Source organism: Homo sapiens, chromosome 1 (assembly GCF_000001405.40).
Source record: "Homo sapiens chromosome 1, GRCh38.p14 Primary Assembly".
Lineage (NCBI taxonomy): Eukaryota > Metazoa > Chordata > Mammalia > Primates > Hominidae > Homo > Homo sapiens.
The window spans coordinates 201,719,356-201,734,553 of NC_000001.11; the positions used below are offsets into that span (position 1 = coordinate 201,719,356).

Here is a 15,198-nt window from a genome sequence, read left to right on the forward strand (position 1 = left end):
GTGCAAACCTTCTACCAATCATGCAACTTCCTAATCCCTACCCAGCGTGTCAAATCCTTCTTTCCTGCCTTTTGCCCTGCAGGGACCCTCATCTTCTTATATTTTTCTGCCTTAATTGACAGAGTTGTGCCTATGCCTTCCAACCTTGGAAGAGTTGGCCAGGACCCCAAGCCCCCAGCACTTCATTCTTGCTGTCCTCTCCTGGTCTGGGAGGATAGAAGAGAGGATAGGAAGAATGAAGTGCTGGGCGCTTAGGGGGATCCTGGCCAACTCTTCCAAGCCCAGAGACAGGAGAGAGGCAGTGGTTCTGGAAGCTTCTCTGGAGCACCTCTTAGCCTACTGCCACTTTCACTCTCCCTTCTTGGTTTGCTGGTGCCCTCCTCCGCCAAGGGGCCATACAAGTAGCAGCAGCATCCCTTCCCTTCCTTCTCAGGGACTTAATATCTTACTGCCAGGGCCTGCCTCTCCCCAATAAAAATCCCAGACTTCAAGGGAGTGGAAAGTAGCCTCTCCTCGGAAAAGACGAGAGCCAAGCTCCAGGCCATCCACTGTTCCCCACCCCCATCTCCACCCCTGCAGAGAACTTGGAGGGATCTGGTTAGGGCTTGTCCAGCTGATGAGGCTGCTCTGGAGCAAAACAACTGACGCATGAATGGAGTTGTTTACTGCCTGTTAAATCCCAGGGGCCAGCCCAACCTCGCGCTCACGCTCAGATCCACCAGCCTGGAGCTGGGACCAGAGAAAAGCCATGCAGTGCACAGATCCTGAGCTCCTTCTGTGGTCAGAGGCCTGTGCTGGGCAGGAAGGAGAGCCAAGGTGTGTGAGGAGCTGCTCCACACAGCCTCTGCCCTAGGAAGCTGCCAGGGACTGCCTGAGGAAGTGTCAGGTCACTGCCCTCCTCTGAGAATCCCAGGAGGGTGCAGAGGGTGGCACAAGCCCTGCGGGGCTGAGTCTTTAGAAAGTCCCCCATGTGTTAGAAGAACCATAGCCCTAGACCCTAGGGAGCTTCCAGACAGGGGAAGTGATAGGACCCCTGCCCAGCACAGCTCCCAGATTGATGGAGGTGACGGGGCCCCTGCCCAGCACAGCTCCCAAACTGATGGAAACGAGATCCCTCTGAGAGCCCTTCACCCCACCAACCCACCTGATGGCCATGGCAGAAAATACCCCAAGTGTTGCAAGGTACAGGAGCCCTGCTTGGAGACGTCGCAGTCTGAGGAAGGTGGCAGGACTTCCGGCTCTTAACTAGCTGTATGAGCTTGAGCAAACTGGTTCACCTCCCCAGGCTTTCTTTCATTTGTCTATCTGTCAAATGCAGATAACAGTAGAACTTATCTCAGGGTTCTGATGAGGATTCAATGGGTTAATATATGTAAAGTACTTAGAATAATTCCTGGCTCATTGTAAATGCTCACTAAATGATAGCTATTATTTTTGTTGCTATATTATTTTTGTTGTTATTAGAGTCCCAGACTGATGGAGAGACATGATTCTTACCGTCAGGGGTGTGTAGTCTGACCAGAGTCCCACTTACTCAGCATCAGCAGCAAAGACAGATCTAGTAGCAGCTGGTCAATCCCAGGGGCATAGATAATAGGCTGTGGGGGCATGGAATGCAGGGGGAAAGGGTAGGAAAGACCCCCTTTATCCCCCCTCTAACACCCTTGCTTTATCCTCCTTCCTCTGGACAGGATGTGTGTTCCCGAATCCATTTTTTAAAAATTAGAGTTCACCGAGACTAGCATGAATAAGAACTTGCCTTCCCTGCACAGCCCCCAGCTGTAAGCCTTGGGAAGCCTGGAGTTTGCATGGGGAACACAGAATCAATTGTTGGCATGGCAATATCCATAAAGTGGACCTTCCTGTAAACTGTGATGCTAGTTTACAAGATCATTTCACATGCATTTTTTATGGTCAACCTTCAGTTAGCAGTAACCCTTAACACGAGTTTGTTAACTTCCCTGCTGGGACTGTAAACATGGCCATCTGAGAAGTCAGAGTTGAAGGGAATCAACTTATAATCCCCAGTAATTTAATGTAAACAGTCACTCCTCGATTATGGGTTTTCATGGTTAAGTGTTGTTGTTGTTTTAATTAGTAACAGGGCAACCTGGATTCCAGCGACTCTTTAAGTGAACATGCAAACCTGAGCTGTCGTTGCTCAGCCTCCTGTTGGTCTTCTCATCCCCACTGTGGTTTCCATCTAGATGTTATAATTTAGAAAATGTCCTATTTCTTAAAAAACTGTTTTTCTAGTCATTAAAGGGGTAGGACTGTTCCCTGTAGGGATAGCTTCAGCGCTTCCCTCCACACTGCGACACCCCTGCCCACCCATCAGCCTCGGCCCACTGCAATTTACTTTCCCACCTCCCAAGAGCTCCCAGCACTGGGCCAGCAGAAAAGCTGATCTTTCCCCACTGGGTGACATAATCGGCTCCAAGCTATCCGAGTGAGCCATAAAAGATGACAGTAATTCTGGCGCTTTCTCCACACTCTGTTTATCTGCGGGGGGATCATCCCTTTGACGGCTCTTCCCAAGCCCCTGTTCAGTCTCAAGTCAGCTCTCCCTACTCCCTCCAGTGACCAGGCCCCTTTCAGGTCATTAGTCAGCAAACCAAAGAAGGCAAATTCTTCAAACTGAAGTCAGCAAACTAGAAGGAAGAAAGTGACTCTGATGCTGCTACCAGAATAATCATACATGTTTTTTAAAAAGGATTTATTTTTAAAAATTGTGGTTATATATATATAACATAAAATTTACCATTTTATGTTAACCATTTTAAAGTGTACAGTTTAGTGGCATTCAGTACATTCACACTGCTGTGTAACCATCATCACGTCCATCTCCAGAATTCTGTCTTCTCCCCAAAGAGAAACTGTACCCATTAAACAGTAGCTACCCTTTCCTCCTCCCTTCAGCTCCTGGGAGCCACCATTCTACTTTTCGTCTCTATGAATTTGACTACTCTAGGTAACCCATATAAGTGGAATCATACAGTCTTTGTTGTTGTTGTTGTTTAATGACTGGCTTATTTACTTAGCATAATGTCATCAGGGAGCATTTATGTTGTAGCGTTAGAATTTCATTCTTTTTTCAGGTTGAACTCTATTCTGTTGTAGGTATACGCCACATTTTGTTTACCCATTCATCTGTTCATGGGTTGTTACCACCTTTTGGCTATTGTGAAGAATGTTGCTCTGAAAATTAGTGTCCAAATATTATTCAAGTCCCTGCTTTCGGTTCTTTTTGGGTATATACCTGGAAATGGAATTGCTGTATCATATGGTAATTCTATGTGTTTTTTGTTTGTTTGTTTGTTTGTTTGTTTTGAGGAACCACCATACCGTTTTCCACAATGGCTGCACCATTTGATATTTCTACCAGCAATGAATGAGGGTTCTAATTTCTCCGAATTCTCCCCAACATTTACTATTTTCTGTTTTGTTTGTATTTATAGTAGCCATCCTGGCCAGGCGCGGTGGCTCACACCTGTAATCCCAGCACTTTGGGAGGCTGGGTTGGGTAGATCACTTGAGGTCAGGAGTTGGAGACCAGTCCGGCCAACTGGTGTGGGGTGAAACCCCATCTCTACCAAAACTACAAAAACTAGCTGGCGTGGTGGTGCGTGCCTGTAATACCAGCTATTCGGGAGGCTGACACAGGAGAATTGCTTTAACCCAGGAGGCGGAGGTTGCAGAGAGTCGAGATTGCACCACTGCACTCCAGCCTGGGCGACAGAGCGAGACTCCAACTCAAAAAAAGAAAAAACCCATCCTGATGGAGGCGAAGTGGTTATCTCATTGTGGTTTTGATTTCTGTAGTGATTAGTAATATGGAGCAGCTTTATGTACTTATTAGCTATTTGTACATCTTCTTTGGAGAGATATCTATTCAAGTCCTTTGCCCATTTTTAAATTGTGTTGTTTAATTTCTTTTTGAGTGTTAAGAGTTCTTTATATATGCTAGATATGAACCTTTTATCACATGTATGATTTGGAGATATTTTCTTTCATTCTGTGTATTGGGTTTCCTTTTCATTCTGTAGATGTATCCTTTGATGCACAAAAGCTTTTTATTTAGATGAAATCCATTTTATCTGTTTTTTTCTTTTGTTGGCTATGCTTTGAGTGTCATATCTAAGAAATCACTGCAAAATCTAACGCCATGCAGCTTTTCCCCTACGTTTTCTTCTGAGAGTTTTATAGCTGATGGGGTTTTTTGGAAATACAAATTCTAAGCCTCAGACTTACCAATGCAGAATCTCTGCTACCCAGAAAGCCACATTTTTCTAAAGCTTCTCAGTAATTTTAGACTAGTCCATGTTCCTATCTAGTACAATAATCTTATCTACAGTATCCCTGACAGACAGTCTTTCATCCTTGGCTTGCATAGGCACAGTGATGGGAAGCTTATTCCATATCATACAGAATTAAGTTATAAGAAAGTTTCTAAATATTCAACTGAAATCTGTTTCGCTGTAACTTCTACCTATTGATTCAAATTCTGTCATCTGGGAAAAATAGAATAAGGGTGTAACTCTTCATCCAAATATTTCAACATGTTCTTAATATAGCTCAAATATTCTCTAGACCAAAAAGAAAAAGAAAAAGTCCCTAGCTTATTTCAGTACTTTTTTCAATGACCCAGTTTTTCGAACCTTTCATTGTCCTGGTCACCCTCCTCTGGAAGCTCTCAGGACGTCAATGACCCTCTTAAAATTTGGCACCTAGACTGATCACCCGCTTGACACTAGAAGTAGTCTCGCCAGGGTAATATCCAAATCATGACACTGCAGACAACTTTGAGTTGGCTGCTGACTGTCCTAGATGACAGCTCGGGCCATTTTTACCACTTGGAAATACAAAAGGAATTTGTTTTTCTAAAAATAGGAAAGTCTGGAATTTAATCTAAATAAGAAGATAAGTTTCACAGCCATCTGTCCTTCCATCCCTGGCATCCATTGGAGTGGGAGGGGAATAGAGGATGGGTACCCATACAGAGGTGGATGCAGGCACTGAGTAGAGGAGGCACACGTGCCTGATGGGAGGAGGTCAGAGGGCCCTCCATCTTCTCCCTACTTTAATGTGGGTTTCCCTCTCAATGTGTCCATTTTTGTGTATGTGAATGGGTGAGCTGTGTCTGAGCTGGGTGGCAGTAATGGATGGGGACTTGCAGGCCAGTGCAGTAACACTACTGCCAAGTCCCACAACTCCAGAGGGTGCCCTTCACATTACATAGAGGTGTGAGGTCCACAGCCCTGACAGGACTGCTGTCCTGAAACCTATGCCAAGGGCCACAGGGCCTTAGACAGAGTCAGCAGGCTCCATCTTGAGCGAGTGCTGTAGGCGTGTGTCGGGAACAGAAGGATTCCTTGGCGACTTCTGCCACACCCTGGCTCTCTCATCAGGTGGCTTCCTGCCCTCCGTGTGTGGCTGGATGTTCCAGTCTTCTTATTTTTCTCTTCACCGCCCCTTCCTCCACTCCCCAGCCTGTCCTCTTGAACTGTGCTTGGGGGCTCAGAACAGATGGGATTCGTTTCCTCTTTGGCTCTGAAGTGTCCTGACGTTGAAAAATGTCAAATAAAATAAACTGTAGGCCCCTGCCTTCTCCCAGGCTGGCTCTGTGCTCCCAGAATCAGCGAGCTCAAGCCTTAAAGAGACACTTCCAGCCTTGCTGACAGGGCCCCAGCCTCTGCAGCTACCCTCCTGAGAAGGAGCTGCATTCACTGCCCTCCCACTTGGCTCATGTCTGACTCTCAGACCTCAAGATACCCAACCCAGCCACCCTCATCGATAAGAATTCTCTTGCAATGAGCACTGGGTTTATGTGGTTTGTACAAAGAGAAGAGACCCCTTTTGAATTTGAATGGACAAGGAGTAGAGTTGTCCCACTTCTTATGTCTTCTTCTGCCTTTGCCTTCTCTGTTTCCTGGTAGGTCTTTAGGAATCCCGCCTAGCGGGACAGCTGGGCCAGGCCTAGTTTTTGCTCATGGAACCCAAGGATAGAAGCAGAGAGCAGTAGGGGGCCATCCTCGGGAGGACCCAACATTCAAGTTCAGGAAGGAAACTCAGTTTCTCTCCTGAAAGGACTTCAAATCTAAAAGGGAGGTAGGCAGCCTGGGCAACAAAGTGATACCCTGGGCATGGCAGCACGTGCCTATGGATAGTCTCAACTACCTGGGAGGCTGAGACAAGAGGATCACTTGAGCCCAGGAGTTGGGGCGGGGGGGCTACAGTGAGCTATGATTGTGCCACTGCACTCCAGCCCGGGTGACAGAGCAAGACTCCGTCTCTTAAAAAAAAAAACATGAATAAGTGGGCTAGGCGCAGTGGCTTATGTCTGTAATCCCAGCACTTTGGGAGTCCAGGGAGAGAGGATCGCTTGAGACCAGGAGTTCAAGACTAGGCCTGGGCAACATAGCAAGACACTGTTTCTACAAAAAAAATTAAAACTTAACTGGGCATGGTGGCATGTGCCTGTGGTCCCAGCTACTCAGGAGGCTGAAGAGGGAGAATCCCTTGAGCCCAGGAGTTGAGGTTGCAGTGAGCTATGATCACACCCCTGCACACCAGCCTGGGCGACAAAGACCCTGTCTCTAGAAAGTTAAATAAATTTTAAAAATTAAAATAAAATAGAAAGGTAGGGTACTTATTGGGTCCACAGTAAAGGAAGCAGTATGTAGTTGAAGTAGATGATAGCTGTTGCTTCATTGAAGATAATATCTAACAATTAGAATGCTGACTCCAGATTCATACACATAGCCTTGGCTGATGCTTCTTTGTGGTGTAGGGAAGAAGCACTGGGCTAATTCTGAGATCTGGAGTTCAATCCTAAGCACGGCTCTAACTTGCTGTGGCACTGAGAAAGCCACCTAGCCTCTCTGAGTCTTAGTTTGTTCATTTGTAAAAAAGGTAATCATTTTTGCCTTAAGAGGATCAAATGGAAAAGAATAGTAAGAGTGCTTTGAAAAGTATAAAGAGCTGTCAGTTTGAAATCTATTATTCTGGTTGGGTGTGGTGGCTTATGCCTGTAATCCCAGCACTTTGGGAGGCCGAGGTGGGTAGATGTCCTGAGGTCAGGAGTTCAAGACCAGCCTGACCAACAACAACATGATGAAACCCCATCTCTACTAAAAATACAAAATTAGCCAGTGTGGTGGTGCACACCTGTAATCCCAGCTGCTCAGGAGGCTGAGGCAGGAGAATTGCTTGAACCCAGGAGGTGGAAGTTGTAGTGAGCCAAGATCGCACCACTCCACTCCAGCCTGGGCAACAAGAGCAAAACTCCATCTCAAAAAAAAAAAAAAAAAATAGAAATCTATTATTCTGATCTCCATGTAATGTTCTCTTCATTTAGCTGATGGCTTCTGCCTTAATTAGGGGTGGCTAGAGTATCAAAATAAGATTTCTTAAACTTGGAAGATGAGGACATTAAATTTGGGCTTTGACTTAGGTTTCAAGGAATGCTTCACAACACGGTCTTGATATTCTTTTAATCCTGTAGTGTGCAGTTAAATAAACAGACTTTTGAGAACAGGCTTATCAACACAGGCATACCACAGATGGGCAGAGCCATAGCATGGTTTAGAGTGAAGGCTCACAGCTAGGCTGCCTGTGTTTGTGTCCTGTCTCTTTTCCTTCCTAGCTCTGTGAGTTTGGATGAGTTTTTCACCTCCCTCTGCTTGTTTCCTCAGCCGAAAACTGTGGAGAGAAGTGGTGCCTACTCTGTAAGATTAATGTGAGGATTAAATTAGTTAATACTCTTACGTTAGATATCATAAATGCTGTCTTATGTTAGATATCATACATGCTCAACAAATGCTGGCTCTCCTTCATCAGCCATTTGATGATAGACATTAGCAAGCTACTGGACCTAAGTTGTCACAGACACATTCTAGATGATAATACATTCTTTGACAAAGAATGTATTAACCTTCATGCTTGAAAATGATCTTTCTGATCCTCACAGGAAGAATGACATAATAAGTTGTTTGCCAAGAAAGATGGATTTGTTTTGACCCATTTTTACCTGTTCACACAATGTTCTCGTGCAGCAAATGGTGCCCATCTGTGGTTTGGGGTGAGTATAGCATGTGCTTATTGTGCAGATAGCTAAGCTCACTGCACACAGAGTCACACAAGTGACCATGACCTCTTTCCCATCATGACTTGGCTAATTGGGCTGTCAGTCCTTCACTCAAACATGTTTCTTGCCTATGAAGAATGTCTTGGGCCGGGCACCCCCAGAAGCTGACCTTGAGACAAGGATTTGGGTGCAAGTGGTTTATTTGGCAGGTGCCCAGAAAGTGCTGACAGGAGTGGGAAAGTGAGTTAGGGGAGAGAAGGAAGCCACTACAGGCTATGTTCATGTGCAGGTTACTGCTGTGGGCAACTGGGGCTTACGGATTTCTAGGAGATGACGTGGAATACACCTCAGTGTTGCCCCACCAGAAGGGCAAGGAAGCATGGGTATTTATATGTCAGCTCCCATTCATTATTGGCTGAGGGCAGCTCCTAGAGGGCATTGGGTCTGCGTTTCAAGCCTGCTGCACATAGGCTGAGAGGAATTCCTGAGTTCGAGTCACAGGCGCCCACAGTCATGCTCAGACAGCACATACAGGAACAGTGACTGCAGGGGGCATAGGTGGGACACAAATACCACCAGTTATAAAGAGGAAAGATGGGAAGGAAAGACAAGAGGAAGGTGTGGAGTTAGATTCCTGGGTCAGATGTGAACCCCTGGCTCTCAAAACACTCCTTCTTTTTTTCTTTTTCTTTTTTTTTGAGACAGGATCTCACTCTGTTGCACAGGCTAGAGTTCAGTGGTGTAATCAGGGCTCGTGGCAGCCTCTACCTCCTAGGCTCACATGATCCTCCCACCTCAGCCTCCTGAGTAGCTGGGACTAGAGGCACACATCACCACACTTGGCTAGTATTTAAATTTTTCTGTAGAAGTCCAGGCGCAGTGGCTCATGCCTGTAATCCCAGCACTTTGGGAGGCCGAGGCAGGTGGATCACCTGAGGTCAGGAGTTCAAGACCAGCCTGGCCAACATGGTGAAACCCCGCCTCTACTAAAAATACAAAAAAATTAGCCTGGTGTCGTGGCAGGCTCCTGTAATCCTGGCTCCTTGGGAGGCTGAGGTAGGAGAATCACTTGTACCCAGAATGTGGAGCTTGCAGTGAGCTGAGATCATGCCATTACACTCCAGCCTGGGCAAGAAGAGTGAAACTCCATCGCAAAACAAAAAAAAAAAAAAAAGAAAAGAAAAGAAAAAAAAGACATCTGTAGAGACAGAGTCTCACTATGTTGCCCAGGCTGGTCTCAAACTCCTGGGCTCAAGCAATCCCCGATCCCCCCTGAACCTCCCAAAGTGCTAAGATTACAGGTGTGAGCCACTACACCCAGCCTCCTTAATTCTTAAAATAGTGGGCAGCACCCCTCAGTCTGTGCAGCATTAATCTGGATAACAGTGTCTGTTCAAACCCAGCAGGGTTGGTGAAAGGTTGGAGTAAGCCAGGTATTCCAGAGGGGCTGCTGGAGGTATTCTAGTTGCTATGCCAACTAATGCTAGCTAAGGAGTGCTCCTTCCTCTAGTGTGTCCTAGTAACCTACAATTGAGCTGCTGGAGTTTTCACCTAGTGTGATGACATGCAATTTGGTTGACAATCAAGATGGGTAAGGATCAAGGAAGCTGTTGAGATGAGCTTGGCTTTTCCCCCACCAGCTCTGCCCACCTGTCTACCTGTCCACTGTCTCCCCTCTTTAATTGTCAACCTTTTCCTTATGTTCTGTGATAAGCCAGCTGAGCTTGTGTGGTGCCTGGAAATTCCATGTAGTCTGATATTACAGAAAGAACACAAGTTTGGAAGTATGACAGGCCTGGTGTTCAGATCCCAGCTCTGAGTCTTTGGAAAAGCTGTTTATCTATTTTAAGCAAGAATACGAATACGGCAATAGTATTGTTCTTAGCATGTAGTGAAATATAGTGTATGTAATACACTTGGTGGCCAGGCACAGTGGCTCACACCTGTAATCCCAACACTTTGGGAGGCCAAGGTGGATCACTTGAGGTCGGGAGTTCGAGACCAGCCTGGCCAACATGGTGAAACCCCATTTCTACTAAAAATACAAAAATTAGCTGGGCGTGGTGGCAGGCTCCTGTAGTCCCAGCTACTTGGGAGGCTGAGGCACGAGAATTGCTTGAACCTGGGAGGTGGAGGTTGCAGTGAGCAGAGATCGGACTCCATCTTAAAAAATAACACTTGGTGGCCAGGTGCGGTGGCTCACACCTGTAATCCCAGCACTTCGGGAGGCCGAGGCGGGCAGATCATGAGGTCAGGAGATCGAGACCATCCTGGCTAACACGGTGAAACCCCGTCTCTACTAAAAATACAAAAAATTAGCCGGGTGTGGTGGCGGGAGCCTGTAGTCCCAGGTACTCGGGAGGCTGAGGCAGGAGAATGGCGTGAACCCGGGAGGTGGAGCTTGCAGTGAGCCAAGATCGTGCCACTGCGCTCCAGCCTGGGCGACAGAGCAAAACTGTCTTAAAAAAAAAATAAAAGAATAAAAATAACACTTGGCATGCAGCAGGTGTCAGTAAATGTTACCTCCATCCCTTCTCTTGGTTACTCCTAGAAAACCAAAGCTATAAAGGCCATCATCTATGGCCAACTATTCCGCCTGGGTGGTGATGTCCAGTTGCCCACCCATCTTTGCAAAATCCCCTCCCTCCAGGGAGCCTTTCCTGATTCATCACACTGGACTCTGGGTTGTCCTGGAACTTGTGTGCATAATTCATACTGCAAGTAATTTGCACTTTTATGATTCTCTCGCAATTGCATAGCATGCATGGTTTGCACACACTAATATGGCATTATCTTATTTAATGTTAACAGCACTGTGAATTAGACATTCTTCCCCCCTCCAATTTACAAGTGAAGAAATTGGAACTCAGATTAACTGGCTTGGGAGGATCATATAACTCAAAGTGGCCCCACCAGAACAGAACCCAGGCCTCTGCCTCTGACATTCTGGGCACGTTCCAGTGCACCTACTGCCTCACCATGTGCTCCTTGAAGCCTTTCCCTCTGTGTGCAGCCCTTGTGTCCCTGAAGCCTGTGAGCATGACAGGGGCAGGGATCACAGGCCTTCCACTGGAGTAGGAGTTTCCCAAGGACAGAGACTCTGTCTTCTCTCTCTCTGTTTCCCCTCGACACCTAGCAATGTAGGTTCTCAGGCCATGCTGTCGACTGACCAATGAATCATTGTTAGAGACCCCCTCCTGGAATGCCCTTACATGACCTCTCCATCTTCCAGGATAGAGTCTTGCTTTGGGGAGCCACAAAGTGGCCACAGTCAGGAATTCTGGTCCAAGGGCAGAAGGAGCAACCCAAGCCTCTGTGAATACAAGTCCTTGTTTGACTCCAGCTCAAAGGCTGAGCTGTCCCAGGATGTTCATGAGGGGCCAGCTCTGGCCTCTGGGCTATCAGATGTCTCTGGCCAGGCAGTAAAAGGCCATTCACTGCAGCTGAAGAAAGGCCAGCAGGCCAGGCAGAGGGACTTACCTACGGAAGTGTTCAGGGTTGGGGGTCCAAAGATGCTGAAGGACTGAATGGTGGTCATCTATATATCAGTGTGACGATGGAACAAGCACAGGAAAAGGCATAAAAGTATAGATTTGCAAAGCAGGCCAGAGGAAAGAGTCAGGCCCATAGAGACCGAAAGCACATAGCTACATTGGAGGCAGATCGACACTCACTGAATATGCAGGGCAGGATCACGGAGAGACAAGGTAGGAGAGGCTGACACGGGGGCATGTGCGGTAGAAAAACAGAGTCAGCACGTTCGTGATGTGCACACCAAGCAGTGGAAATGAGAGACAGACAGATACTGTGTGAGACCCATCCAAACGTGTGTGAGAGGTGGCTGGATACAAAGAGGCTGTGTGTGCACAAGATCGACTGTTTGAGGACACAGGCCCGCCGATGTGCAGGGGGTGTGCGGCAACCAGACAGGCACAGAGAGTGTCTGAGAGGTGGAGGGACCCCTCCAGAGAAACAAGAGTGACCTTGTGCTCAGCCTGAGGGTTGGGGAGTGACCCAGAGCAGGGCGAGTATATTCTCACCAGCCTACCCCCCTTCTCCTTTGGCCAGCTCCTACTAAAAGGGGTCTGTGTCGTACCTTGTCTCTTTCTTGTGGGGCATCTCCAGCTTGGGAGACAGGAACAAAGCTCTGACCTAGTCCCTGCCCTCTTTGACTGCTCACCCTCTTCCAGCCCCTCTACCCAGCCTCAATCTCTCATTCTTCCTCTACTTTGAAGTCTGGCTTCTGTCTTGGCCCCTGTGGGTTTGATGACAAAGGGCAGTTCAGGAATGACACTATCTACACATACATGGCCATATGGACAATTTCAGGTGGTGGGACTTGCAGCAGCTGGGGTTCCCAGGACTGCTGACATTCTGCTGAGTGTTATTAGAAGATCAGGGACAGAGCTTATCATCTGGCTGTCACTGCCCCTTTCCAAGCCACAGCGAGCCTCCACAGAGGGGCCCTGGGGGATAGCCAGCTGCCCTGTGCTCATGCTGGAGTGAACTTTCCTCTGATCTTCCCTGTTTTCTGGATTTAGCCAGGGAAAATACAAGGGAGCTCCTTGCTCCCTGTGTGAGGTTCCAACTGAGAGATCCCACCCTTCCCAGCTCTGATCAGATACCCCTGAAGTTTGGAAGGCAACAGCTATACAATCTCTCTCTCTCTTTTTTTTTTTCTTCCCCTGAGACAAGCATCACTCTGTCACCCAGGCTGGGGTGCAGTGGCACAATCATGGTTCACTGCAGCCTTGACTTCTTGGGCCCAAGCAATCCTCCCGCCTCAGCCTCCCAAGTAGCTGGGACTACAGGCAAGTGCCACGATGCTATTTTTAATCCATGCTAAGTTTAAAATGTAATACAGGCTAATTCTTAAATTTTAAAATACACACTAATTTTTGTATTTTTTTTAATTTTGGTAGAGGCAGGGTTTTACCATGCTGCCCAGGCGGGTCTCAAACTCCTGGGCTCAAGCTATCCACCCACCTTGGCCTCCCAAAGTGCTGGGATTACAGGCATGAGTCACCATGTCTGGCTTATACACTCTCTTATATCTCCACAAGTCCTTGTGGTTAGTTTCCTGCTCTTGGGAAGTAGAGTAGCAAAGTAGATGGAACATTCTAGAGCCCAACTGGTCTGGTATAATTTTCAGTTTGCTACTCACTACCTATGTGCATTACTTAGCCTCTTTGTGCTTCGGTGTCATTATCTGAAAGGAATGCCCACCTTGTGATATTTGCTCATACATTCCACAAACACTTGTAGACCACTTAATATATACCAGACACTGCAGATGTGGCAGGAGGAAAAATAGGCATTGCTCTTAAACTCATGTATGAAAAGAAATGGCCAGGTGTGGTGGGTCACGCCTGTAATCCCAGCACTTTGGGAGGCCAAGGCGGGTGGATCACTTGAGGTCAGGAGTTCAAAACCAGCCTGGCCAACATGGCGGAACCCTGTGTCTACTAAAAATACAAAAATTAGCTGGGCATGGTGGCGCGTGCCTGTAATCCCAGCTCCTCAGGAGGCTGAGACATAAGAATTGCTTGAACCCAGGAGGCGGAGGTTGCAGTGAGCTGAGATCATACCACTGTACTCCAGCCTGGGCAACAGAGCGAGACTCTGTCTCAAAAACCAAAACAAAAAAGAAATGGCAGGGCCAGGCATGGTGGCTTATGCCTGTAATCCCAGCATTTTTGGAGGCCAAGGCGGGCGGATCATGAGGTCAAGAGATCGAGACCATCCTGGCCAACATGGTGAAACCCCGTCTCTACTAAAAATACAAAAAATTAGCTGGGCATGGTGATGCGTGCCTGTAGTCCCAGCTACTTGGGAGGCTGAGGCAGGAGAATGGCATGAACCTGGGAGGCAGAGCTTGCAGTGAGCCGAGATTGAGCCACTGCACTCCAGCCTGGGTGACAGAGCGAGACTCCTTCTCAAAAAAGAAAAAAGAAAGTAATGGCAGTGCTCGCTTTGGCAGCACATATACTAAAATTGGAACAATACAGAGAAGATTAGCATGTGCAAGGATGACACCCAAATCTGTGAAGCCTTCTATATTTAAAATATATATATTAAATTAAAAAAAGAGAGAAAAAGAAATGGCAAACAAGCCAACAGATAAACATGCAATAGGTTAGGTGGTGCTGTGTGTCATAAGGAAAAATAAAGCAGGGTAAGGGGCAGAGAGTGATGGGGTAGCGGGTATTTGAGAGTGGATAGTCAGGGAAGGCTTCTTTGATAAACTGTGCAGATAACTGGGGAGAGAGCTGTCCAGGCAGACAGAAGAGTATATGCAAAGGCCCAGAGGCAGGAATCGGCATAAGTTCAAGGAACTGCAGGGAGGTCAGTGTGGCTGAAGCAGAGTTAGCAAGGGGGCAAGTGGCCAGAAATGAGGTCACAGGTAGCCAGAGGCCATGTGTGCCATGCTGAGGACTTTGGCTTTTCTTCCAAGAGAGAGGAAGCTACTGGAGGACTTCAGGGAGAGGGACGATGTGATCCAACATGTTTTGCAAAGGGTCTGTCTGGCTACTATGAGGAGAGCAGACCACAGGGACACCAGGGGAACCAGGAAGCATGGAAGGGAGACTGCTGCAGTTAGCTAAGTGAGAATGGATGGTGGCTCACACCAGGGATAGAAGTGGAGGTGGGGAGAAGGTTTTGAGGATTAAAGAAGATAACATTGGCCAGGTGTGATGGCTCACACCTCTCATCCTAGCCCTTTGGAAGGCTTAGGCGGGCGGATTGCTTGAGCCCAGGAGTTCGAGACCAGCCTGGGCAACACAGCAAGACTCCTTCTGTACAAAAAATTTTAAAATTAGCTGGCGATGATGGCTTGCACCTGTGGTCCCAGCAACTCAGGAGGCTGAGGTGGGAGGATCGCTTGAGTGATTGGAGATTGAGGCTGGAGTGAGCCGTGTCCATGCCACTGCACTCCAGCCTGGGTGACAGAGCAAGACCCTGTCTCAAAAAAGAAAAAAAGAAGAAGAAGAGGAAGAAGAAGAAGAAGAGGAGGAGGAGGAGGAGGAAGAGGAGGAGGAGGAGGAAGAAGGAGAAGGAGAAGAAGAAGAAGAAGAAGAAGAAGAAGAAGATCATTTACAGTACTTTCTCAA

At 47.3% G+C, this 15,198-nt stretch overlaps 1 protein-coding gene, 2 long non-coding RNA genes, 1 other non-coding gene and 1 pseudogene across 9 annotated transcripts in view, besides 2 other annotated features; 3 read left to right on the forward strand and 2 right to left on the reverse strand.

Moving 5' to 3' along the window:
* The window catches only part of NAV1 (neuron navigator 1), a 287,843-nt gene that overhangs the window by 180,229 nt on the left and 92,416 nt on the right, over window positions 1–15,198 (forward strand). The window lies entirely within an intron of this gene.
* The window catches only part of IPO9-AS1 (IPO9 antisense RNA 1), a 141,304-nt gene that overhangs the window by 31,100 nt on the left and 95,006 nt on the right, over window positions 1–15,198 (reverse strand). The window lies entirely within an intron of this gene.
* Window positions 153–272, forward strand: MIR5191 (microRNA 5191). Its single transcript, NR_049823.1, has one exon. It is a non-coding gene; the product is annotated as a microRNA 5191 (primary transcript).
* Window positions 269–915: an enhancer, noted in NCBI's record as "H3K27ac-H3K4me1 hESC enhancer chr1:201688752-201689398 (GRCh37/hg19 assembly coordinates)". NCBI's record gives its function as "activates a minimal SCP1, AML or CMV promoter by ChIP-STARR-seq in primed H9 embryonic stem cells {active_cell/tissue: H9 hESC(primed)}" and the evidence as "EXISTENCE:reporter gene assay evidence [ECO:0000049][PMID:30033119]".
* LOC124904483 (uncharacterized) overlaps window positions 2,700–15,198 on the reverse strand; it is a 55,488-nt gene continuing 42,989 nt past the window's right edge. Inside the window, exons 1-3 of one of the 3 annotated variants that reach the window (XR_007066792.1) lie at window positions 12,183–12,764; window positions 11,567–11,624; window positions 2,700–5,560 (exon numbers count right to left, since the gene is read on the reverse strand). This is a non-coding gene — a long non-coding RNA (uncharacterized LOC124904483). Of the gene's footprint in view, window positions 5,561–11,566; window positions 12,765–15,198 lie in introns of those variants that run through there. The other 2 variants (XR_007066791.1, XR_007066790.1) reach the window with 2 other exon arrangements.
* Window positions 5,124–5,625: an enhancer, noted in NCBI's record as "H3K27ac hESC enhancer chr1:201693607-201694108 (GRCh37/hg19 assembly coordinates)". NCBI's record gives its function as "activates a minimal SCP1, AML or CMV promoter by ChIP-STARR-seq in naive H9 embryonic stem cells {active_cell/tissue: H9 hESC(naive)}" and the evidence as "EXISTENCE:reporter gene assay evidence [ECO:0000049][PMID:30033119]".
* On the forward strand, window positions 14,051–14,150 carry RNU6-501P (RNA, U6 small nuclear 501, pseudogene; annotated as a pseudogene).